The sequence below is a fragment of the Homo sapiens genome, chromosome 8, assembly GCF_000001405.40.
Source record: "Homo sapiens chromosome 8, GRCh38.p14 Primary Assembly".
NCBI lineage: Eukaryota > Metazoa > Chordata > Mammalia > Primates > Hominidae > Homo > Homo sapiens.
Window position 1 is genome coordinate 140,382,572 of NC_000008.11, and position 26,583 is coordinate 140,409,154.

Here is a 26,583-nt window from a genome sequence, read left to right on the forward strand (position 1 = left end):
CAGTCTGAGATCAAACTGCAAGGTGGCAGTGAGGCTGGGGGGAGGCACCCACCATTGCTGAGGCTTCAGTAGGTAAACAAAGTGGCCGGGAAGCTTGAACTGGGTGGAGCCCAACACAGCTCAAGGAGGCCTGCCTGCCTCTGTAGACTCCACCTCTGGGGACAGGGCATAGCCAAACAAAAGGCAGCAGAAACCTCTGCAGACTTAAATGTCCCTGTCTGATAGCTTTGAAGAGAGTAGTGGTTCTCCCAGCACGGAGTTTGAGATCTGAGAACGGACAGACTACCTCCTCAAGTGGGTCCCTGACCCCCAAGTAGCCTAACTTGGGGGGAGGCACCCCCCAGTAGGAACAGACTGACACCTCACATGGCCGGGTAGCCCTCTAAGACGAAACTTCCAGAGGAACGATCAGGCAGCAACATTTGCTGTTCAGCAATATTAGCTGTTCTGCAGCCTCCGCTGCTGATACCCAGGCAAACAGGGTCTAGAGTGGACCTCCAGCAAACTCCAACAGACCTGCAGCTGAGGGTCCTGACTGTTAGAAGGAAAACTAACAAACAGAAAGGACATCCACATCAAAACCCCATCTGTATATCACCATCATCAAAGACCAAAGGTAGAAAAAACCACAAAGATGGGGAAAAAACAGAGCAGAAAAACTGAAAATTCTAAAAATCGGAGCACCTCTCCTCCTCCAAAGGAACACAGCTCCTCACCAGCAACGGAGCAAAGCTAGACAGAGAATGACTTTGATGAGTTGAGAGAAGAAGGCTTCAGATGACCAAACTTCTCCAAGCTAAAGGAGGAAGTTCGAACCCATTGCAAAGAACTTAAACACCTTGAAAAAAGATTAGACAAATGGCTAACTAGAATAACCAGTGTAGAAAAGTCCTTAAATGACCTGATGGAGCTGAAAACGATGGCACGAGAACTACGTGACGAATGCACATGCTTCAGTAGCCGATTCGATCAACTGGAAGAAAGGGTATCAGTGATTGAAGATCAAATGAATGAAATGAAGGGAGAAGAGAAGTTTAGAGAAAAAAGAATAAAAAGAAATGAACAAAGCCTCCAAGAAATACGGGACTATGTGAACAGACCAAATCAACGTTTGATTGGTGTACCTGAAAGTGACAGGGAGAATGGAACCAAGTTGGAAAACACTCTGCAGGATATTATCCACAAGAACTTCCCCAACCTAGCAAAGCAGGCCAACATTCAAATTCACGAAATACAGAGAACACCACAAAGATACTCCTCAAGAAGAGCAACTCCAAGACACATAATTGTCAGATTCACCAAAGTTGAAATGAAGGAAAAAATGTTAAGGGCAGCCAGAGAGAAAGGTCGGGTTACCCTCAAAGGGAAACCCATCAGACTAACAGCGGATCTCTCGGCAGAAACTCTACAAGCCAGAAGAGAGTAGGGGCCAATATTCAACATGCTTAAAGAAAAGAAGTTTCAACCCAGAATTTCATATCCAGCCAAACTAAGCTTCATAAGTGAAGGAGAAATAAAATCCTTTACAGACAAGCAAATGCTGAGATTTTGTCACCACCAGGCCTGCCCTACAAGAGCTCCTGAAGGAAGCACTAAACATGGAAAGGAACAACCAGTAACAGTCACTGCAAAAACATGCCAAATTGTAAAGACCACCGAGACTAGGAAGAAACTGCATCAATTAACGAGCAAAATAACCAGCTAACATCATAATGACAGTATCAAATTCCACATAACAATATTAACCTTAAATGTAAATGGGCTAAATGCTCCAATTAAAAGACACAGACTGGCAAATTGGATAAAGAGTCAAGACCCATCAGTGTGCTGTATTCAGGAAACCCATCTCACATGCAGAGACACACATAGGCTCAAAATAAAGGGATGGAGGAGGATCTACCAAGGAAATGGAAAACAAAAAAAGGCAGGGGTTGCAATCCTAGTCTCTGATAAAACAGACTTTAAACCAACAAAGATCAAAAGAGACAAAGAAGGCCATTACATAATGGCATAATGGTAAAGGTATCAATTCAACAAGAAGAGCTAACTATCCTAAATATACATGCACCCAATACAGGAGCATCCAGATTCATAAAGCAAGTCTTCAGAGACCTACAAAGAGACTTAGACTCCCACACAGTAATAATGGGAGACTTTAACACCCCACTGTCAACATTAGACAGATCAACGAGACAGAAAGTTAACAAGGATAACCAGGAATTGAACTCAGCTCTGCACCAAGCAGACCTAATAGACATCTACAGAACTCTCCACCCCAAATCAACAGAATATACATTCTTCTCAGCACCACATCGCACTTATTCCAAAATTGACCACATGGTTGGAAATAAAGCACTCCTCAGCAAAGGTAAAAGAACAGAAATTATAACAAACTGTCTCTCAGACCACAGTGCAATCAAACTAGAACTCAGGATTAAGAAACTCACTCAAAACCACTCAACTACATGGAAACTGAACAACCTGCTCCTGAATGACTACTGGGTACATAACGAAATGAAGGCGGAAATAAAGATGTTCTTTGAAACCAATGAGAACAAAGACACAACATACCAGAATCTCTGGGACACATTCAAAGCAGTGTGTAGAGGGAAATTTATAGCACTAAATGTCCACAAGAGAAAGCAGGAAAGATCTAAAATTGACACCCTAACATCGTAATTAAAAGAACTAGAGAAGCAAGAGCAAACACATTCAAAAGCTAGCAGAAAGCAAGAAATAACTAAGATCAGAGCAGAACTGAAGGAGATAGAGACACAAAAAACCTTTAAAAATCAATGAATCCAGGAGCTGGTTTTTTGAAAAGATCAACAAAATTGATAGACCACTAGCAAGACTAATAAGAAGAAAAGAGAGAAGAATCAAATAGACGAAATAAAAAATGACAAAGGGGATATCACCACCAATCCCACAGAAATACAAACTACCATCAGAGAATACTATAAACACCTCTATGCAAATAAACTAGAAAATCTAGAAGAAATGGATAAATTCCTGGACACATACACCCTCCCAAGACTAAACCAGTAAAAAGTTGAATCTCTGAATAGACCAATAACAGGAGCTGAAATTGAAGCAATAATTAATAGCTTACCAACCAAAAAAAGTCCAGGACCAGACGGATTCACAGCCGAATTCTACCAGAGGTATAAGGAGGAGCTGGTACCATTCCTTCTGAAACTATTCCAATCAATAGAAAAAGAGGGAATCCTCCCTAACTCATTTTATGAGGCCAGCATCATCCTGATACCATAGCCTGGCAGAGACACAACAAAAAAAGAGAATTTTAGACCAATATCCCTGATGAACATCAATGCAAAAATCCTCAATAAAATACTGGCAAACCGAATCCAGCAGCACATCAAAAAGCTTAGCCACCATGATCAAGTGGGCTTCATCCCTGGGATGCAAGGCTGGTTCAATATATGCAAATCAATAAATGTAATCCAGCATATAAACAGAACCAAAGACAAAAACTACCTGATTATCTCAATAGATGCCGAAAAGGCCTTTGACAAAATTCAACAGCCCTTCATGCTAAGAACTCTCAATAAATTAGGTATTGATGGGATGTATCTCAAAATAATAAGAGCTATTTATGACAAACCCACAGCCAACATCATACTGAATGGGCAAAAACTGGAAGCATTCCCTTTGAAAACTGGCACAAGACAGGGATGCCTTCTCTCACCACTCCTATTCAACATAGTTGGAAGTTCTGGCCAGGGCAAACGGGCAGGAGAAAGAAATAAAGGGTATTTAATTAGGAAAAGAGGAAGTCAAATTGTCCCTGTTTGCAGATGACATGATTGTGTATCTAGAAAACCTCATTGTCTCAGCCCAAAATCTCCTTAAGCTGATAAGCAACTTCAGCAAAGTCTCAGGATAGAAAATCAATGTGCAAAAATCACAAGCATTCCTATACACCAATAACAGACAAACAGAGAGCCAAATCATGAGTGAACTCCCATTCACAATTGCTTCAAAGAGAATAAAATACCTAGGAATCCAACTTACAAGGGATGTGAAGGACCTCTTCAAGGAGAACTACAAACCACTGCTCAAGGAAATAAAAGAGGATACAAACAAATGGAAGAACATTCCATGTTCACAGATAGGAAGAATCAATATCGTGAAAATGGCCATACTGCCCAAGGTAATTTATAGATTCAATGCCATCCCCATCAAGCTACCAATGACTTTCTTCACAGAATTGGAAAAAACTACTCTAAAGTTCATATGGAACCAAAAAAGAGCCTGCATTGCCAAGTCAGTCGTAAGCCAAAAGAACAAAGCTGGAGGCATCACGCTACCTGACTTCAAACTATACTACAAGGCTACAGTAACCAAAACAGCATGGTACTGGTACCAAAACAGAGATATAGACCAATGGAACAGAACAGAGCCCTCAGAAATAATACCACACATCTACAACCATCTGATTTTTTACAAACCTGACAAAAACAAGAAATGGGGAAAGGATTCCCTATTTAACAAATGGTGCTGGGAAAACTGGCCAGCCATATTTAGAAAGCTGAAACTGGATCCTTTCCTTACACCTTATACAAAAATTAATTCAAGATGGATTAAAGACTTAAATGTTAAGTCTTTAATGTTTTTAACTAAACTTTAAGCTAAGTCTTTAACTAAACTTTAATGTTAAGTTAAAACCATAAAAACCCTAGAAGAAAACCTAGGCAATACCATTCAGGACATAGGCACGGGCAAGGACTTCATGTCTAAAATACCAAAAGCAATGGCAACAAAAGCCAAAATTGACAAATGGGATCTAATTAAACTGAAGAGCTTCTACACAGCAAAAGAAACTACCATCAGAGTGAACAGGCAACCTACAGAATAGGAGAAAATTTTTGCAATCTACTCATCTGACAAAGGGCTAATATCCAGAATCTACAATGAACTCAAACAAATTTACAAGAAAAAAACAAACAACCCCATCAACAAGTGGGCGAAGGATATGAACAGACACTTCTCAAAAGAAGACATTTATGCAGCCAACAGACACATGAAAAAATGCTCATCATCACTGGCCATCAGAGAAATGCAAATCAAAACCACAATGAGATACCATCTCACACCATTCAGAATGGTGATCATTAAAAAGTCAGGAAACAACAGGTGCTGGAGAGGACGTGGAGAATAGGAACACTTTTACACTGTTGGTGGGACTGTAAACTAGTTCAACCATTGTGGAAGACAGTGTGGTGATTCCTCAGGGATCTAGAACTAGAAATACCATTTGACCCAGCCATACCACTACTGGGTATATACCGAAAGGATTATAAGTCATGCTGCTATAAAGACAAATGCACACGTATGTTTATTGCAGCACTATTCACAACAGCAGAGACTCGGAACCAACCCAAATGTCCAACAATGATAGACTGGATTAAGAAATGTAGCACATGTACACCATGGAATACTATGCAGCCATAAAAAAGGATGAGTTCATGTCCTTTGTAGGGACATGGATGAAGCTGGAAACCATCATTCTCAGCAAACTATCGCAAGGACAAAAAAACAAACACCGCATGTTCTCACTCATAGGTGGGAACTGAACAATGAGAACACTTGGACACAGGAAGGGGAACATCACACACCGGGGCCTGTTGTGGGGTGGGGAGGGGGGAGGTGGGAGGGATAGCATTAGGAGACATACCTAATGTAAATGACAAGTTAATGGGTGCAGCACACCAACATGGCACATGTATACATACGTAACAAACCTGCACGTTGTGCACATGTACCCTAGAACTTACAGTAAAAAAAAAAAAAAAGAAGGAATGAAGGGGGCCGAGTGCGGTGGCTTACACCTGTAATCCCAGCACTTTGGGAGGCCAAGGCGGGCGGATCACCTGAAGTTGGGAGTTTGAGACCAGCCTGACCAACATGGAGAAACCCCATCTCTATTAAAAATACAAAATTAGTCGGGCGTGGTGGCACATGCCTGTAATCCCAGCTACTCAGGAGGCTGAGGCAGAAGAATCGCTTGAACCCAGGAGGCAGAGGCTGTGGTGAGCTGAGATCACACCATTGCACTCAACCTGGGTGACAGAGCAAGACTCCATCTCAAAAAAAAATACAAAAATTAGTTGGGCGTGGTGGTGCATGCCTGTAATCCCAGCTACTTGGGAGGCTGAGGTGGAAGAATTGCTTGAACCTGGGAGGCGGAGGTTGCAGTGAGCAGAGATGGCGCCATTGCACACTCCAGCCTGAACAGCAGAGTGAGACTCCATCAAAAAAAAAAAAAAAAAGGAATGAAGGACTGATTCGTGCTACAACATGGATGAACCATGAAAACATGACGCTAAGTGAGTAATCTAGACACAGAAGGACAAACACTGTCTTTTTTTTTTTTTTTTTTTTGATGGAGTTTTGCTCTTGTCACCCAGGCTGGAGTGCAATGGCGCGATCTCAGCTCACTGCAACCTCCGCCTCCCAGGTTCAAGCGATTCTCCTGCCTCAGCCTCCCAAGTAGCTGGGATTACAGGCATGCGCTACTATGCCTGGTTAATTTTGTATTTTTAGTAGAGACGGGGTTTCTACATGTTGGTCAGGCTGGTCTCAAACTTCCGACCTCAGGTGATCTGCCTGCCTCAGCCTCCCAAAGTGCTGGGACTACAGGCGTGAGCCACCGTGCCTGGCACTGTCCTTTTAGGTAAAGGGCATATAAGTGTTCATTGAACTACTCCTGCAGCTTTTCTGAAGGTTTGAAGTCTTTCCAGGTAAAAATAAAGTATATTATACATTACAAATATAAAACAATAAAAGCAATCCCTCATAGGGGGGGTTATGGATTAAGTGCAGACACAGGTGTGCACACCCACCAATGGTCACTGCCGTCACGGCCACTCAGGCGAGTGGTGCTGATGCTGGCGAGTGCCACAGGATGGAACATGAGTCATAGCTGACTCCACTTCATGCATCCAACAAACATTAAAAAGTGCCTGGTCTATGACAAGTATTGTGCTTAGCACAGTGGCTAAAAAAATGAATAAGATACAGTCCCCAGTCTAGAATCTGCATGCATTACCAAACTTTCCTATTAAAAATGTATCACTTTAATATTCAGCTCAGCTCTAAGGTAACCCCTAAGGTAAAGAGCTTAGAATTTCTAAAAGCAATAAGTGTCTGTAATATGCTCCGTTTATGCATTTATTTACATTCTGCCTCATTGTAAAAAAGGATCTAAAATCAATTTTTTAAACACATACAATTTAACAACAATAACCAAAAAAAAAAAAAAAAGATAAAAATCAGTGTAAAAAGAAAATGAGAATTCTAGTTAAAGGAAACCAGGGGAAGGTTAAATCACAAAAATGTCTGCCATGAAGTAGATGTAATTATTAAGGGTAAGCTAGAGACTCAGCTCTAAGGCTCCTAACAGCTAAAGCAAAACGATAAAGATGAAGGCCAGGCGTGGTGGCTCATGCCTGTAATCCCAGCACTTTGGGAGGCCGAGGCAGGTGGATCATTTGAAGTCAGGAGTTCAAGACCAGCCTGGCCAACATGATGAAACCCCATCTGTACTAAAAATACAAAAATTAGCCGGGCAGTAGTGGCGGGTGCCAGTAACCCCAGCTACTTGTGAGGCTGAGGCAGGAGAATCGCTTAAGCCTGGGAGGCAGAGGTTGCAGTGAGAGGAGATCCGGCCACTGCACTCCAGTCTAGGGAAGAAAGTGAGACCCTGTCTCTAAATAAATAAATAAATAAAAAGAGATAAATATCAACTCCCACGAAATAAGTATCTGCACCAACTGCAGGCATGTCCCCAGGCAGGAAGCTGTGAAGCACCATTCTCATCCTGGAGCATCATTCTCAATGCCTTCCTGGGTTAAACAGAACAACCCACAGCACGGATATGGGGCTCATTCTCCAGGCTCTGGCTTTTCCTTTATTTTAGTCCTCTCCCTCTTTCCTCACTTTATTGGGCTTCAAATGGAGATCTGAAACTCCAGCCTAAGGACTGGGTCAAAGATTCCCACCGCTTTGCAGGCAGCTGCCATCATCCACAGCCCAGCGGGGCATCAGAGGCCCACCTGGCTTGCTCATATCTCTGCAGCTTTGACTGCTCACTCAAGAGAGATTTCCTTATATGCCTCTTACTCTCTCCTAAAGACAAGGTGCAATATACCAGACTCTTGTTCATGCAGAAATGTCTCAGTTCCCTCTCTCTCCTTTTACATCTCTAATAAGGAACTTACTTTCCTCCTTCCCCATCCAACAGTTTCTTTGTGAGAACTATGAAATCCTCACAAACAATCTCTGAAAGCCACGCACCCTGCTGGCTGGACTGAACTGTTTCAGCCATAGCTAAGCTGCATTCCTACTACTTTCCCCCTTCTATCTTAAAAAGCCTTTCCCAAATCTCCCCGTGCCTCTGATTTTCAGCTTAAATTGACATAAAGTTTGAGGTTGCAATTATTATGTGCATATCTAGCAGGCTTTTCCTGGGTTTCCTTAGCAACAGCTTCATTAAGGAACTGCATCAAAAATTTTAAAGAGGCTATTCTTACATCTGAACAGAGTAGCCTGCATAAAATTTGAATGGTTTTGAAGAGAAAATTAACCAGGAACAAAGAGGTGGCAGGTCTTAGTCAGCAGTATCATAAGCCAAAATGTTTTCAAATGGCTCGGAATCATTCCTGAATATTTGGTTTGTGGGAGGCAAAGGGTGTTGGATTCAATGAGAGTTGATCCTAGAGTATGTTCTCTAATCTGGTAAAGTCAGATTATTTTCTAGTTTTTCAAACAATTCCTTACTACCACTTTCTCTTACTGTCACTTGCCATTTTTGACTAATTAAGAGTTAAGAAAGTGAGCCGGGTGCAGTGGCTCACGCCTGTAATCCCAGCACTTTGGAAGGCCAAGGCAGGTGGATCACCTAAGGTCGGGAGTTCGAGACCAGCCTGACCAACATGGAGAAACCCTGTCCCCACTAAAAATACAAAATTAGCCGGGTGTGGTGGCACATGCCTGTAATCTCAGCTACTCAGGAGGCTGAGGCAGGAGAATCGCTTGAACCCAGGAGGCAGAGGTTGTGGTGAGCCGAGATCGTGCCATTGCACTCTAGCCTGGGCAACAACAGCGAAACTCTGTCTCAAAAAAAAAAAAAAAAAAGAATTAAGAAAGTGAGCAGGGCATGGTGGCTCACGCCTGTAATCCCAGCACTTTGGGAGGCCAAGGCAGGTGGATCACCTGAGGTCAGGAGTTTGAGACCAGCCTGGCCAACATGGTGAAACCCCATCTCTACCAAAAATACAAAAATTAGCCGGGTGTGGTGCGGGCACCTGTAATCCCAGCTACTCGGGAGGGTGAGGCAGGAGAATTGCTTGAACCCAAGAGGCAGAAGTTGCAGTGAGCTGAGATCGCGCCACTGCACTCCAACCTGGGCTACAAGAGTGAAACTCCGTCTCAAAAAAAAAAAAAGAATTAAGAAAGTGAATTTCAATCATTTGGGTAGTTTGAGGGAAACTACCTGATGTGGTACATAGAGCTTGGATTTTAGAACCCAAATGGTTTAAATACCAATGGTGGTATCTACAAGACAATCCTGGAGACACGGCAAACTCCTCTCCTCAATTTCTCATCCTTAAAATGGAGCGTAATAAACTACTTTGCAAAGTTGTTGTGATGATTATGGCCAATATCTGAAAAGCATCTAGCTAAATGCATGCAACAAGCTGGCTGCTTAATCACTCATATTATCAATGAGTTTCAGCTTATCCGATAATGGAGAGGTTCTGCCTTTTCATCTTTTTTGTGTGCCAACAGAGCTTATTTTACAGGATTAATACTGCTAGAGCAGGCCTGACTAGAAAATTCCCCAGGTCTACAAGGCAGAACATGTTCTTTTCCTTGGATCAAATTCACAATTATCTATGTTTATGTTTATCTGCTCAGTACCCATTTCCCCCTGTAGACCTGAAGCTCAGTCAGCATGAGACCACGTCTGTTTTGCTGCCCGCTGAACGCTCAAGGCTAGCAGACGACGGACACAGCGCCGAGTGCCTGGCCTTTGGTGTGGAACAAGTGAGTGAGGGCAGGAAAGAGAGAACCAGCACGCCTCCCAGAGGCCCTTCGCCTCTGAAATTATGGTCTGGCTTTGGACAAGTTGTACAACCTTTCCTTAGCCTGAGGTTCCTCCTCTACAAACAAGAATATCTGTACTGGAAACACAGAATTATAAGGATTAAAGAAAATAACCAAATTCACAAGCCTGTAAACTGTCTGTTAATGGGTCCTCAACAAACAGGAGCTGCCTGCATCCCTTTGATACAACCAGTGAGCCGTGAGGCAGACATGTTTGCTGAATGCTTTCTAAAAGCCAAGCACAGTGCTTAGCACTTTATATGCATTATTCTATCATTCACAACTTACAGCAACTCTAGAAAGAAGTGAATATTATCATTCCCATTTTATTTTTATTTTATTTTATTTTATTTTATTTTATTTTATTTTATTTTATTTTATTTTTTTAGATGGAGTTTTGCTCTTGTCACCCAGGCTGGAGTGCAGTGGCGCCATCTCGGCGCACTGCAACCTCCACCTCCTGGGTTCAAGCGATTCTCCTCCCTCAGCCTCCCGAGTAGCTGGTATTACAGGTGCCCCCCACCACACCCAGCTATCATTCCCATTTTATAGACTTGGAAACAGGCTAATGAGGTTACATAACTATTCCAGGTCGCACAGTGAGGAAATGGCAACTTCAACCTAAATCTGGGGGGCCAAAGTCCATGCTTCTTCCACCTCACCTCTACTTCACTATTTGCTTGTAAAAATCCACATGTCCAACCCATAAATGTACAGGTAGACAGCTATTAAATGAGGTATTTGCTGCCATTTGTGAATTATCTTAGATAGATAATTATCATAAACCATTCACCTAAACAACTAAAGAAAAGACAGGTCAATCCATATCCCTGCACACAAAGAGAAGGAACTCAGCAGTGAATTCCGTAAAACGAAAAAACCCTTTCCAATACCACTAAATCCAGATGTATTATTTATCAGTTTTTGTATTTGCACAGGGATTCTTAAAGCAGAAGGAACCTGCAATAATCATATCTCAGTTCCTTTCAAAATTTCCATATTAGCCAAAGTCATTTCCAGGAATAGATACAACTCATCAATTCTACAATGGAACATACTTGATCAAGAACCAAAAGCTTGTTCTATTTCAGAAAAACTACAGACCCCTCTTCTTTATTGTTCTTATAAAATCCCACCAGAACTCATTATCTTGCTGCCTGCTCATCTGGCAAACAAACATGGAGATGAGTCAACTCAAGCCAAGCGTCGTGCTGGGGAAAACTCACAGGGCCACGGAACCACATCTGCACTGTCCCCGCCCGCCCAGCATGGGAGCGCTGTTCCCCTTTCGCCGTGTCTTTGCTGACCTCTAGTGGTCCACAGGAAGAAAGAGCAAACAGCAAAAGGACAGGCTGCTCCAAAGAACAAAATGTCCTCACATTTTAAGTGAAAACATTTTATTTTATGAAATGTGTGTTTCTATACCCACCAGTGAAAAGAGATTCCCTGCATGCCCAATTGAGCAGCATTAACTTGCAAAGGCAACTCCAGTTGTTAACGGCAAGCCAGTCTCAAAGCCCTGCCCCCAGCTCCCAACCAAATTGTCTGCAATTCCACTGCTTCAGGCTTTCGGAGGGTCCGTTTAAAAGCACAGTCCACCCTCCACTGTCACAAAAGATGTCTCTTTACACCCTCCAATCTGATCATAACACTTGCCCATCGCAGAGTCACTTTATGGGGCAGGCATCAAGACAGTACTGGACAGGAGGTGTCAAGGCCAGTCCTTCCAGTGACCACATGAACTTGTTATCCTGTCATTTTACAGACCATACTATTAAGAGGCAGAGACACAGAGTGATTGTGCTCAAGGTTATGCAGCGAACAGGTGGCAACACAGGGGTGTGAACCTGAGCCCATCTGACAGCGCGACTCCACTGCGACTCCCAGCTTAGATTCCTTCAGGGATTCTCTCTTGCCCACCTGATGACTTTTATGCAAGACCTGTGACAGGAACTGACCTCAGCCTGCGTTGGGGCCTCTCTTCCCCACACTGTCCCTCACAAACAAAACTGCTATGATCCCCAAGTGACTTCTGTGCTCAGAGCTCACACCCAGCCACATGTTTACACCCAGTCTCTCTGCTCAGAGGCTCCTCAGCACCACTCTGCCGGGTACTTTTCACTCTCCTCAGAGAACACCTCCTCCGGGAAGCCCTCCACCCTCAGCACTTAGAGCATCAGGCTCCGGGGCAGGGACCACATCCTCATTGGCCCTGCAAATCTGTGGCCCGGCGCAGTGCTGAACCCCACGTAGGTCCCCCAAAAAGCATGTCAAATGAGAAGTATGATCCAGCTGTTGGTTCATTTGCCCGGCATCACTGGGGAGAACACCTCCCCTTGGGCGCCCAGGTAACTGAAGCTTCCACTTTGAAGTGTCAGGTTCCCGCTTCTGACCATCTTTACCAGAAACTTCAACATAAACTGCAAGATACGGACCTCTTCCTAATGCTCTTCTGATGACACACTGCCCCAGCGGTGGTGCTGTTTCCCTCATACTACGTGGCCTACAGCTTTGAGGGACTGTGGTGTTGTTTGTTTTTACTCGGTTTATGGGCTTTACTCTGTTCTGGTCGCTCCCTTTGGTGTGACACTGACACTTGCCACTTTGACTTATCGGCCTCCCTACCAACGTCTAATCTAGGAAATTAGCCAAGATGACGGGTCCAAGGGGCAGTAAATACACTTTACAGAAGAGGGAACTGAGGCACACAGAGGTTAAACATCTCGTCAAGGGAAGTGAAGCTGGAATGCCAACCCGAGCAGTCTGTATCCAGTCTGTGTGCTCAACTCTCATGCTAAAGCGCCTCTCTTTTTATAGACTATGGCTATAAACATTATAAAGTACCAAAATATGGACCAACTCTGAGATGGTGGTGACTGTTATTTTGTTTCTACTTAGGTTATCTGCTTTCAATTGAAAAAATTAAGAATCTCTGTAGTCAATGCGGCAACATTTCAACATATTAAATCTGGATGATAAGCATGAGTGTCTTATTATTAGTCATACTTCTTTGTGTGTTCAAAAGAGAAACTGATTTGAAAGTCTCTCTCCTCTCTCCTCCACCCCCTGCCCTGTCTCTCGCCTGAGCCCCCAGACCCACACCTCTCTCGTTATGTGAGAAGCTGAACCTCTCCTCTTTCCCTCCACCACTGCCTTGCAGCTTGCCCTCCTCGGAGCCCGGCCTGACCATCGGGCACCTAACAGAGCAACACTCCATTCCACCCGACCCACAGCCGGCCGCTGACCCTTTCCACGTAGACTCCCAAGCACGTTTCCAGCGGGCTGGCCTTCCTGCCAACAGCCCCAGTCCTTTGGGGAAGCTGTCAGCACTGCTCGCCTGGGCTCCCCAAGGGCCTCTGCAATGGGCCCCCTCCCTTCCTCTCCCTCCACTCCATACAAATCTGGTCACATCAGTCCCTGATGTTAAGACCTTGCCTTTTTTTTTTTTTTTTTTTTGAGACAAGAGTCTCACTCTGTCACCCAGACAGGAGTGCAGTGGTGTGATCTTGGCTCACTGCAAGCTCTGCCTCCCAGGTTCACGCCATTCTCCTGCCTCAGCCTCCTGAGTAGCTGGGACTACAAGCACCCGCCACCACGCCTGGCTAATTTTTTGTATTTTCAGTAGAGATGGGGTTTCACCATGTTATCCAGGATGGTCTCGATCTCCTGACCTCGTGATCTGCCCGCCTCAGCCTCCCAAAGTGCTGGGATTACAGGCGTGAGCCACTGCGCCTGGCCAAGACCTTGCTTTTAAAACCCGCCGCTCTTAGAAGCAGCCCCAAATGCTTCACCTGGCCGAGAAAGCCCTCCCGCTCAGACTCTGTCCTCCCTACCCCTCTCTTCCTCTCCCTCCCTCCCTCTCCTCCCCTACCTCTCCATCTCCCCATCTTTCTACCCCCACCGCCATCTCTGACTTTATTTGGTCTCTCCCAGTGATGTGTTCTGTTTCTGGGCATCACTCATGCTGAGCCATTTTCTTCCTGAATGACCTTCTCCCATCTCTTCTTTACCTGGCTATCTCCTATTCATCCTTCAAGGCCCAGTTCCAATCTCACTGACTTAGAGACTGTCCCTGGCCCCCACACCCTCCACCTCCATTAAACTAAGTTAAATCCTTTTGCCACTTCCTCCCTTGGCACCTGTACCTCCAATTTTTTTCCACTTACCCACTGCTCAATGTCTGCCTTTCCCACAAAACTGTCAGATGGATGAGGACAGGACCCACCTGCCTCAGCTCTCTTTCCCCCACCCTTAGCACAACGCCCTCCTAAGTATCTGCTGAATTACAGTGACCTACGTTCTCATACTCGTCTGGTGTCCTTAAGCAAATTGTTTAACTTGGTCTCAGTTTCCCTATCTATAAAGATCCAAGTTAAACTAACTAAATATCTAAAATCCTTCTAAGACTATCAATTTTAGGATTTAGCATTATCAATCCACAACTAAAGGTTTTAATGATTGTTTTATTAAAAATCCATTTAGATTCAGATTAAAGTATTATTTGCTGGGTTACCACTGTGTCAAAGGAGCTATATAAGTGCTTTCACAAACTGCATGTTTTATAAACCCAACACCCCAAACAGGGTTACAAATGGCAAGTACTTCATGAGTGACAATATCAAGACAAGAGGCGTAAAGCTTGTTGAAGGTTGCCAAGCTGGTAAAACACAGTTACTTCTCCAAAAAACAAACAAAAAAAATGCAAAGGACAGCAAGTTCTGAATTTTGAAAGTTAAATACCACAATGAAAGAAGTAAAATATACAAATAACCATGTTAATTAGAAATCAAGTTAAGATTCAACAGTTTTTATCATGGCATGCTGAACCTCAGCAAAACGAAATAAGCTGAATTCATAGTGAATCAATTCCGTAAGAACTGGATGAACTCTTCCACTTACAGGTAGACATACACTCACCTGTCGAAGGTTAATGTAAACTGCATTCTGAAGAAATTCTGATGCTTCCATGCTCCGTTTCTGAATTGCAAGGACACGTACAGCCTTGATGCACGCTTCCAACTCAATCACTCCCGCATTCTTATACTGCAGGGTGTAAAGGAAATGCCTCAGTCAAAAAAGAGTTCAGATGTTTCTGTCACATTCTAAAGGCTGTGCTACTGGGACTCAATAACTACAACAGCACTTCCCCCATCACAGGGCTCCAGATACCCCTCCTGATATGGTTTGGTTCTGTGTCCCCACCCAAATCTCATCTTGAATTGTACTCCCATAATTCCCACATTGTAGGAGGGACCTGGTGGGAGATCACTGAATCATGGGGGTGGTTTCCCCCATATTGTTCTCATGATAGTGAATAAGTCTCATAAGATCTGATGGTTTTATCAGGGGTTTCTGCTTTTGCATTTCCTCATTCTCTCTTTGCCTGCTGTCATCCATGTAAGACCTGACTTGCTCCTCCTTGCCTTCTGCCATGATTGTGAGGCTTCCCCAGCCACACAGAACTGTAAGTCCAGTTAAACCTCTTTCTTTTGTAAATTGCCCAGTCTCAGGTATGTCTTTATCAGCAGCATGAAAACAGACTAATACAGTAAATTGGTACCCAGAATGGAGTGTTGCTGAAAAAATACCTGAAAATGTGGAAGCGACTTTGGAACTGGGTAACAGACAGAGGTTGGAACAGTTTGGAGGGCTCAGAAGAAGACAGGAAAATGTGGGAAAGTTTGGAACTTCCTAGAGGCTTGTCGAATGGCTTTGACCAAAATGCTGATAATGATATGGACAATGAAATGAACAATGATATGGACAACGAAAGAGGGCTGAGGTGGTCTCGGATGGAGATCTCAGTTCTTGTTGGGAACTGGAGCAAAGGTGACTCTTGTTACGTTTTAGCAAAGAAACTGGTGGCATTTTGCCCCTGCCCTGGAGATTTGTGGAACTCTGAACTTGAGAGAGATGATTTAGGATATCTGGCAGAAGAAATTTCTAAGCAGCAAAGCATTCAAGAGATATCTTGGGTGCTGTTAAAAGCATTCAGTTTTAAAAGGGAAACAGCATAAAAGTTTGAAAAATTTGCAGCCTGACAATGAGATAGAAAAGAAAATCAGATTTTCTTAGGAGAAATTCAAGCCAACTGTGGTAATTTGCATAAGTAAGAGGCAGCCAAATGTTAATCCCCAAGACAATGGGGAAAATGTCAGAGGTCTTCACAGCAGTCCCTCCCATCACAGGCCTGGAGGCCTAGGAGGAAAAAGTGGTTTCGTGGGCCGGGCCCAGGGTCACCATGCTGTGTACAGCCTAGCGACTTGGTGCCTGTGTCCCAGCCACTCCAGCCAAGGCTGAAAGGAGCCAACATACAGCTCGGGCCATGGCTTCAGAGGGTGCAAGCCCCAAGCCTTGGCAGCTTCCATGTGGTGTTGAGTGTGTGGGTGCACCGAAGTCAATAACTGAAGTTTGGGAAGTTTCCGCCTAGATTTCAGGAGATGTATGGAAACAGCTGGATGCCCAGGCAGAAGTTTGCTTCAGGAGTGGGGCTCTCATGGAGAACCTCTGCTAGGGCAGTGCAAAAGGGAAATATGGGGTTGGAGCCCCCACACAGAGTCCCTACTGGGGCACTGCCTAGTGGAGCTGTGAGAAGAAAGCCACCATCCTGCAGACCCCAGAATGGCAGATCCACTGACAGCTTGCACTGTGCACTTAGAAAAGCCACAGACACTCAATGCCAGCCCATGAAAGCAGCCAGGACAGGGGCTGTACCCTGCAAAGCCACAGGGGCAGGGTTGCCCAAGACCATGGGAACCCACCTCTTGCATCAGCATGACCTGGATACGAGACATGGAATCAAAGGAGATCATTTTAGAGCTTTAAGATTTGACTGCCCCTCTGGGTTTCGGACTTACATGGGCCCTGTAACCCCTTTGTTTTGCCAATTTCTCCCATTTGGAATGGTTGTATTTACCCAATGTGTATACCCCCATTGTATCTAGGAAATAAGCAGCTGCTTTTGATTTTATAGGCTCATAGGCAGAAGGGACTTGCCTTGTCTCAGATGAGACTTTGAAGTGTGGACTTCTGAGTCACTGCTGAAATGAGTTAAAACTTTGGGGAACTGCTGGGAAGGCATGATTGGTTTTGAAATGTGAGGACATGAGATTTGAGGGGCCAGGGGTGGAATGACAATAATCTGACTCTGTGTCCCCACCCAAATCTCATCTTAAATTGTACTCCCACAATTCCCACATGTTGTGGGAGGGATCCAGTGGGAGATAATTGAATTGTGGAGGTGGTTTCCCCCATACTGTTCTTGTGGTAGTGAATAAGTCTCATGAGATCTGTGTTTTTATCAGGAGCTTCCGCTTTGGAGTCCTCTCCTCATTCTCTCTTTGCCTGCTGCCATCCATGTAAGACGGGACTTACTCCTCCTTGCCTTCCACCATGATTGTGAGGCTTCCCCAGCCACACAGAACTGTAAGTCCAATTAAACCTCTTTCTTTTGTAAATTGCCAGTCTCCAGTACGTCTTTATCAGCAGCATGAAAATGGACTAATACACCTCCCCACCAAAGCCAGAGAATTTGTTTGTGAGAAAGTCTATCCTTTATGGAAGCAAAAGCGATTGGTGTGGCTGAGTGAGTCTATGAATGCCACATAAATGTGTATGCATTCATTAAAATAATATGACCACAGTAGCTTGCTATTTTGCAAAATTTCAAAATATTATCAATGGATGCTTTGCTATCCATTTCTGCTTATCATCCCTTGTAGTACTCTCAAACATTTTTAGAAACTCTCACACCTGCGGCTGTAATGCAGTTGTTGTAAATTCATTTTACTTGGTTGCAAAACATCCGGCTCCCTGTGTGCTCAATGCTTTCTGACTTTGTCTCAGAGTTGCTTGTTCCTACTTCTCAGTTCCTATTATGGTTCCTGAGATGAAGAACAAATGAGGGCGTTTGGAACAGAAAAGCCTTCGTGGAATTTCATTCAACTATGCAATAAACTGGGGAGTATCTCTTAAGCTTCATCCCCAGTTCTCCTAGCTTCAAGCCAGGAGAGCCATCCCCACCCCCTCTTACACACCATGTGGCTCCAGACCCGGGAGCAGGGAAAGGAGGAAGGATTCAGGTTCCAGAACCCTTCCAAAAAAGAAGAGTTCAGATGGATGGATCTCCTTCCTTCCCTCCAATGCCCTTCTCCCTCCCAAGCCTCCACTGCAAAATCCTCCATGCTAGCCATTCTGCATTTTTGTTTTCTACTCCAAACCTTATTTTTATTTTTTTTCCTAGTTATCCCAACTGGACTGATTTTCAACTGATGTTGCATAATTTAAAATTAAAGAAAGGGTTTATAGAGGTTGTCCATGTATACTAGTACCTGAAGAGAAACAGAGGTTGGGAGGAAAAACACACTAATATTCTTTTGCTGGGGCATTAGGTCATGTGAAAACCAATGCATATAATCGACAAGCCTTTGCTGAGACCCACTAGTGGCCTGGTGTGGCATCACTGCTAATGAACATGCAGTCTATTTACCAATCATGAAGAAGCAAAGGCGCAACTGGTTATCTTTCTCACTAAAATCATGTACAAGGTGGGACAAGCAGTTTTATAATTACTATGTCAGAAAGGGTAGGCTTCATTCCTCCCCTTTTCCACACATATAATGTACATGTAATCTGTTATATTAAATATAAGTTATCACAGACGATCAGAAAAAGGAGCTACTTATACCTGCTTAAATACCAACAATGAAGTCAGAAATCTATCAATTGTATATACTGTTTCATGACACAAGAAAAAACTAACACAGGGACTTGATTCTATGGAAATGCCATTTTTCCTTCAAATCTCTTAAAACAGTTTCTATTGACGTGAGAATAAAAGTCATCACAAATTTTTCCCACATATTTTTGGTTAAATTTACATATTTTAATGTATATTACAAAGAGATTTAAAATGAAATCATGAAAAATTATTTTTTTTTGAGACAGAGTCTTGCTCTGTTGCCCAGGCTGGAGTGCAGTTGCTTGATCACAGCTCATCGTAGCCTCAATCTCCCAGGCTCAGGTGATCCTCCCACTTCAGCCTCACTGGTACCTGAGACAGCAGGTGTGCACCACCACACCCGGCTAATTTTTTTGTATATTTTGTAGAGGCGGGGTTTTGCCATGTTACCCAGGCTGGTCTGGAACTCCTGAGCTCAAGTGATCCTCCCACCTCAGCCTCCCAAAGTGCTGGAATTACAGGCATGAGCCATTGCACTCAACCTCTTTTTTTTTTTTTTTAATTAATTCTTTCCTACCATCCAAATTTTCATGGCCAGTATGATTAATATATTATTCCTCAAAAATTCTAAAATAATTTGTTCAAGTTAAAAAAAAACAGACTGGAGTTTTGATGGGGCTTTCAATATGTTTTATTCTGGGAGGTTATGTGTAGTGGCTTAGGCCTGTAATCGCAGCGTCTCAGGAGGCCATGGTGGGAGGATTGCTTCAGGCCAGGAGTTCCAGACAAGCCTGGGCAACATGGACAGACCCTGTCATTACAAATAAAAAATAAAAAATTAGCCAGGTGCGGTGGGATGCACCTGTAGTTACAGCTACTTGGTCATCTGAGTGAGGCCAAGTGAGGTAGGAGGATGAGGGTGGGAGGATTGGTTGAGTGAAGGATTTTGAGGTTACAGTGAGCTGTGATCATGCTACTGCACTCCAGACTGGGCAACAGAGCAAGACCCTGTCTCAAAAAAAAAAAAATGGGTGGGTGCAGTGGCTCACGCCTGTAACCCCAGCACTTTGGGAGGCCCGAAGCAGGCAGATTGCTTGAGCCAGAAGTTCAAGACAAGCCTGGGCAACATGGTAAAACCCCATCTCTACAAAAAATACAAAAAAAATAGCTGGGCATGGTGTTGCACACCTGTAGTCCCAGCACACAGGAAGCCAGAGGTGGGGGGATCACCTGAACCTGGGAGATAAAGGCTGCAATGAACCGTGATCACGCCACTGCACTCCAGCCTGGGCAACAGAACAAAACCCTGTCTCAAAAAAAAAAAAGAAAGAAAGAAAGAAACACTCTTAGATATCAAGTAAACTACTAAAATAGATAAAATATGGTGCTGAAGAAAAGAAAGATTCATAGAAAGGAATGAAAAGTTAATATGTGAAAGTATTTAGTACAGGTAAGAATTCAAATCAAAAAGAAAAAAATATGAATTCAATACATTGTGGTGCGACAATGAGGTAATGACCTGGAAAAAATAAATTGTATTCTTATGTCATAATACACACAAAATAAATTACAGATAATTAGATAATTATAAAAATATTTTAAATGCTAATAACGGTGAATACAGATATATGTTTGCATAGATTATCTCAGCTTATCTTAACTACAGCTCTATGAGATGATGGGTACTGTTATCATCCTCATTTTAGAGATTAAAAAACTAAGGAAAAGAGTTTTATTCTATCATTAAGAAAGTATTTCTAAGCAGGCCAGGTGCAGTGGCCAACGCCTGTAATCCCAGAACTTTGGGAGGCCAAGGTGAGCAGATCACTTGAGGTCAGGAGTTCGAGACCAGCCTGGCCAACATGGTGAAGCTCTGTGTCTACTAAAAATATAAAAAATTAGCCGGGCATGGTGGCTCGCACCTGTAGTCCCGCTACTCAGGAGGCTAAGACAGGAGAATCACTTGAATCCAGGAGGCGGAGGTTGCAGTGAGCCCAGATCATGCTGCTACACTCGAGCCTGGGCAACAGAGCGAGACTCTGTCTCCATAAAAAAAAAAAAAGATATTTCTAAGCATAATGCCAAACTCCTGGCCTCAAGTGACCCACCCACCTAGGCTTCCCAAAGTGCTGGGATTACAGGCATGAGCCAATGCACTCAGCTGTATTGGCAAATATTTTTCAAAAATAATAGCTAGTGTTTGTTTATGGAGGAGTAAATTGTTAATAACCTTTTTGGAGGACAATACAGGAATATATAACACTTTAAGAAAAGTATACTTTTTTTTTTTTTTGAGACGGAGTCTCACTCTGTAGCCTAAGCTGCAGTGCAGTGGTGTGATCTCGGCTCACTGCAACTTCCGCCTCCAGGGCTCAAGTGATTCTTGAGCCTCAGCCTCCCGAGTAGCTGGGACTACAGGTGCACACCACCACATCTGGCTAATTTTTTGTATTTTAGTAGAGACAGGGTTTCACCATGTTGCCCGGGGTGGTCTCAAACTCCTGAGCTCAGGCAATCTGCCTATATCAGCCTCCCAAAGTGCTGGAATTACTGGCGGGCGTGAGCCACTGTACCATGCCAAAAAAAACATATACTCTTTAACTCAAGTCAACTTCTAGGAATTGTTCCCTTAAAAAAAATCAATCCAAAAAGATGTATGCATAGGGGCATTTATCAGAGAACTGTTTACAATAGGGGGAAGAAAAAACAGAAATAAATAATAATCAGTAACAGGATTGGTGAAATAAATAATTCTACATCTTTTCACTCTCTATCAGAGGAGGAATTTGGAGAGTAACTTGAACATAACCTATGATAAATGTTAATATCATATCCAGGATAAATTTCTAGAAAAATTGAACCTAAAGGAATAAGGATACAAGAACACAAGAATATAGGGGCAAAAATGTTCAGTAAAGCATTTTTTCTAATTCACGGTGAAAAAGTGAGAAAGCCTAAGTATCCATCCACGAGAGAATAATTAAGCAAATTAAGGCAAGCTGTGAAATCTTAAGAGCAGGCATTTCATCTTGTTCTAGGTGCTGTTTATGAGCATGTCTCACAAAATGTCTTGATGAATACATGACTACATCCACATTTTGGAAAACCTTTCCACACTCTCTGAAAGAAGCAAGCAGGATTTTAGAAAACCTTTCCACATGCTCTGAAAGAAGCAAGCAGGTCCGGAGGCGAGAGTACACCTGTGGTCTATGAGATACTGCTGAGTGGGTAAAGCAAGTGCAGAATAACATACTATGATCCCATTTTCATAAATAAGATGTGCGCGTGTATGTGAGCATGTGTGTGTACGTGCATGTGTGCGCACATGTGAGCATGTGTGTACATGCATGTGTGCACGCGTGAGCATGTGTGTACGTGCATGTGTGTGCGTGTGTGAGCATGCTTGTATGTATGTGTGTGTGAACATGTGTGTATGTGCATGTGTGTGAGCATGCGTGTGTACGTGCCTGTGTGCGGGTGTGAGCATGCGCGTGTAAGTGCATGTGTGCACGTGTGTGTGAGCATGCGTGTGTGTGTGTGTGTGTGTGTGTGTGTGTGTGTGTGTCTCATAGGCATAAAGGTCATGGAGGCTATGGACCAAGTTGTTGATAATAAACCAAGTTGTTAATAAGAGTAGAGGAGGTAGAGGACTTTCATTTTTTTACTTGATGCCACTCTTCGGCACAACTTTTCTTTTCCAGTATTTTAGTAAGTACATTTGGAATGCAAAATTGTTTTCAATCCAAACTAAAAAGAAGGGTGCCTCCATAAGATGGAATGCTCTACAGGTCACTGAAAATTATGCCTTGGAAGATTTCAACAGCATAGAAAACACAGACTAAAATGGGTCACCACACAGTACATAAGTATGCTCCATTTCTTAAAATATAAATAATATACATTGATAAAAGAACCAGAAAATAGATATAAAATATTAACAATCATTATCTGTGAGTACGCAGGCCATGAGAGCCTTTTTTCTCTCTTTTCCAAATTTATTATACTAAACCTACACTGTTTTGAATCAGAAAAAGAAAACATTTTAGGCATATAGTACTATGCATTAGAGAGCAAGACATGAATACTTACAGAAATAAATAATTAAGAGACACTGCAGCATTACACAATGTAAAATGGAAACTTCTGATTAAACAACACAACTGTGTAAAAAAAATCACAAAGCCATAAAATCACCTTGCTGTAATAGGAAATCGCCTCTTTATACTTGTCAATTATGTCTTCAGGGCTAAGGCAGTTCTTAGCACGTCCGATCTCAGTACTGGTGTCAGGGTTGATGCCATTGGTGGTGAGGGCACCTGCAAACCAAGAGGAAGAAAAGAAATAATCTTTTGCTTTTTCTGTATTATTTCTTTGTTAAAGAGGAGCATGAATAAGACAAAACTTAAATATGCCCTACTGAAATTTAAATAATGTAAGTGTTTAGTCTTCACAGCTTATATGCTTCCTATAATAGCCTTGCTATCAAAGCATTGTATTAAATGTTGGTTAACTCAAAATAAGTTTTCCTCCCTTTTGAAATTTTTTATTGAAGAACATGAAATGCATTACATAAAAGTAACATATTTACAGTAACTAGCTCAATTGTCTTGAAGGCAATGGTGAAGTCAGCACACATTCTCTCATAGCTTGAAGCTCTTCATGTTAGCAAGAAACCACCCCGCATCCTCAAAGGAGGTCAACTACGCAAAAGCATTTTCTGAACCACACGGCATTGAAAAAAAAAATTATAAATGATAGTATGCTTTCTATGCCTTTTTCTATTTCTGACCAACTCCTATCAATAAGCAGAAGCATCTGATTCCCCAGCCACCAAACCCACATGGACAAGCATTTTGGAGCAACTTCCATTTAAAGAATATAACCAACTAAACAGAGAACTCTGGCAGAAAAAAAATAAAGATAAAATATTCATTGACTTCACAGAACACTCAAAAAATATTCTCCTAAATCTCAATAGCAGGGAAAGCTGGGCTTCTATGAAACCACTTGTTTAGCTTACAGAGAGTGAGCATCTCCCACAAATCCTGTTTCCCTTGCACTGTTGGGAGGCTCAGGGATGAGCCTGCCACCCATCTGTATAACCTCACAAGGCCAAAGACGTGCATCTCACACTGCCCTCATCCCCTGTGCAGCTCACTTCTTACCCTTGTTTTCTAATCTTGGTCCAGTTTTTTCATCTGCTTATTGTTTGTTCTCTAATTCTGTAAGCTGCCTCAAAAGGTTTTTTGGAACAAGACAGAAGAATAAACAGGTAAGTGGAGAGATGGATGGACAGATGGAAGGAGAACTCTAAGAAAAGGAGAACGAAGCATTTCATGTGCAAAATCCTCTTCTGGTGAGGGAAGAAAGAACTGTAACAGAACTGTGGAGAGGCAGGTGGTTTAGGACTTTGTTTCCTGCTGATTTTGTGAAAATCACAGCAAGAGACAAGAGGGAAGAACTATAAATGATAATAGAAAAGGGCATGCTTGGAAAAATATATCTCAAATATGCACTTTTTAAAGAATAGATCCAAATCAGCACGACCCGGTGACATAAACTGTGGGTAGAGAATTGAGAACTCCATCCCCCAGGTACCAGGCACCCCTTCGAGCAGTGAGCATTCACACAGGTTGTTATAATGCCATAGGGGCAAAAGCGACATTTTTTCACACTCAGCGGAAGCAGGACCTACGTCAGGAACATCCACACGTGTCATCATCTACAGCAACTCTATGAGAGTATTCTTAGTGTACCCCATCTCTGCAGGGGAGGAGACAAGATCCTACAGAGATTAAATCTCCTTACTAGTTCTCACAATTACAGAGCTGGTGACCCCAAGTAGGAGGCCATCTTGGGCCTATGTTCTTAACGACAGAAGTGTAGTGCTTTGTGTGCTTTTCATGCTTATAATACATTTGTTTCTAGCATAAGTTAATATTTAATAAGTGACAAGGAGTCTTGATTTATTTCATTAGCTATAATGAATTATCTTCACATTGTTGAGTTTTACTCTCTTTTTTTCCCTTGGAGAAATGGTGGGGGGGGGCGGGTCAGAATGAGGTGGGTTTTTCATTCTTCACATGGTATCTCATCTCTTCTCTGAGGAGTAAATGATCAAAGCATAAGAGGGAAATCCCCCCGACGGAGAAGGAACAAGTGCTCCCTCCACCTTTTAAAGAAAGGGCATCTCCAGTCATGAGGGCTAATTTGATCAACTTAATTTCTTTTTTCTTTGAAACAGAGTCTCTCTCTCTGTCACCCAGGCTGGAGTGCAGTGGTACTGGAGTGCAGTGGCACGATCTCAGCTCGCTACAACCCCCCTCCTCGCTACAATCAAGTGATTCTCCTGCCTCAGCCTCCCAAGTAGCTGGGATGACAGGCACCCACCAGCAAGCCCCACTAATTTTTGTATTTTTAGTAGAGATGGGGTTTCACCATGTTAGCCAAGCTGGTCTTGAACTCCTGACCTCAAGCGATCTGTCCAACTCGACCTCCCAAAGTGCTAGAATTACAGGTGTGAGCCACTGCGTCTAGCTGATAAACTTAATTTCAACATCAAGGCTAGAGGAAAAATTTCTATGTGGAGCAACCAAGAAAAATATAAACCATAGGAAAATAACAAGAGCATCGCTCCCAAGAGAGCTTAGTGGGTCAGACCAATTTAATTTCATTCAACAAAAGACTAATAAGTTCTAGAAACACTAGTAAGCCATAGATTTGATCTTTCTTGACATCTGTAAAGTTGTGACAGCCCGTATGAGATGTCATCATGAACTAGTGGACCAGAGCCATCAAGACCCATAGCCTGTAGATTACAGGCAGGAAAATCAATGCCACAGGAGGCTAAGACCCAGATGGGAGGAGAGACAAAGAAAGAGCATGGATGAGAAGTCACGGGGAGGGGGGAAGGTTGAAAAAGGCACCACCAAAAAGGTTCTCAAGTATCAGCCCAACAATGCTTTCATCATTCACTAAAGAGATAGGTACTGAGCTGCTACCACACAAGACTGTATACAAGGCACAAAACTGGAAACCCAGACATACACATAAGATAAAGCAAAAAAAAGAAGGAAGACAGCAGAGATGGATGCCGCTTGAGAAAGGTTTGCCTTTCTCTCCTAGAGAGAAGCACAAAAAGGGCTTAGATACACCAAGAACCAGTGTGGCAATAATTTCAGCAATGGCTAACAGGCTAGCACCAGCCTGGGTCACTAACATCTGCTGTCCAACTACAAAGCAAAAACCCTGCTACGTGGGCACTGTAGGCTTTATTTTGCAGAGGAATGGCAGGAAGACAAGGCATCCATAAGCCACAGGGTGGGATCGAGTCCTCCAGCACCAGGACACAGTGCCTGGAATCACTGGGGCCAAGATGGACTTTTTAATAATGGTCTGGGACACCTGAGTGGCCATTTGGAAAAAAAAAAAAAAAAAATCAAACCCACACCTCACAGGAGACACAAGAGTAAACTCCAAATGGATCTGAGATCTGAATGTAAAACAGAAAACCATAGTTCAAAAAACACAGGTAAATTCCTCTAAAACCTGGACAAAGGAAAAGGCTCTCTATCACACAAACCTAAACGCAATAAAAGACTAATATATTCAACCACATAAAAACTCAGCAAAATTACTATAAACACAGCAAAACATAAATGATAATCTGATTTAAAAATATATGCAACATATATCACAAACGGCTAATTCCACATACATCAAGGTCACAAAAGTTGAAAAAGAAAAACACAACTAAAAATCCAACAGAAAAA

The 26,583-nt window shown here is 42.9% G+C and overlaps 1 protein-coding gene across 16 annotated transcripts in view; it reads right to left on the reverse strand.

Moving 5' to 3' along the window:
* Nucleotides 1-26,583, reverse strand: part of TRAPPC9 (trafficking protein particle complex subunit 9) — a 730,855-nt gene that overhangs the window by 654,847 nt on the left and 49,425 nt on the right. For all 16 annotated transcript variants that reach the window (NR_164662.1, XM_011517326.3, NM_031466.8 and 13 more), the window contains 2 exons: nt 23,006-23,127; nt 15,049-15,174 (listed from right to left, as the gene is read on the reverse strand). Coding sequence is in view for 15 of the 16 variants with exons in the window: in XM_011517326.3 (XP_011515628.1) it covers nt 15,049-15,174; nt 23,006-23,127 (248 nt within the window). In the remaining variant the exon portion in view is untranslated. The remainder of the gene's footprint in view (nt 1-15,048; nt 15,175-23,005; nt 23,128-26,583) is intronic.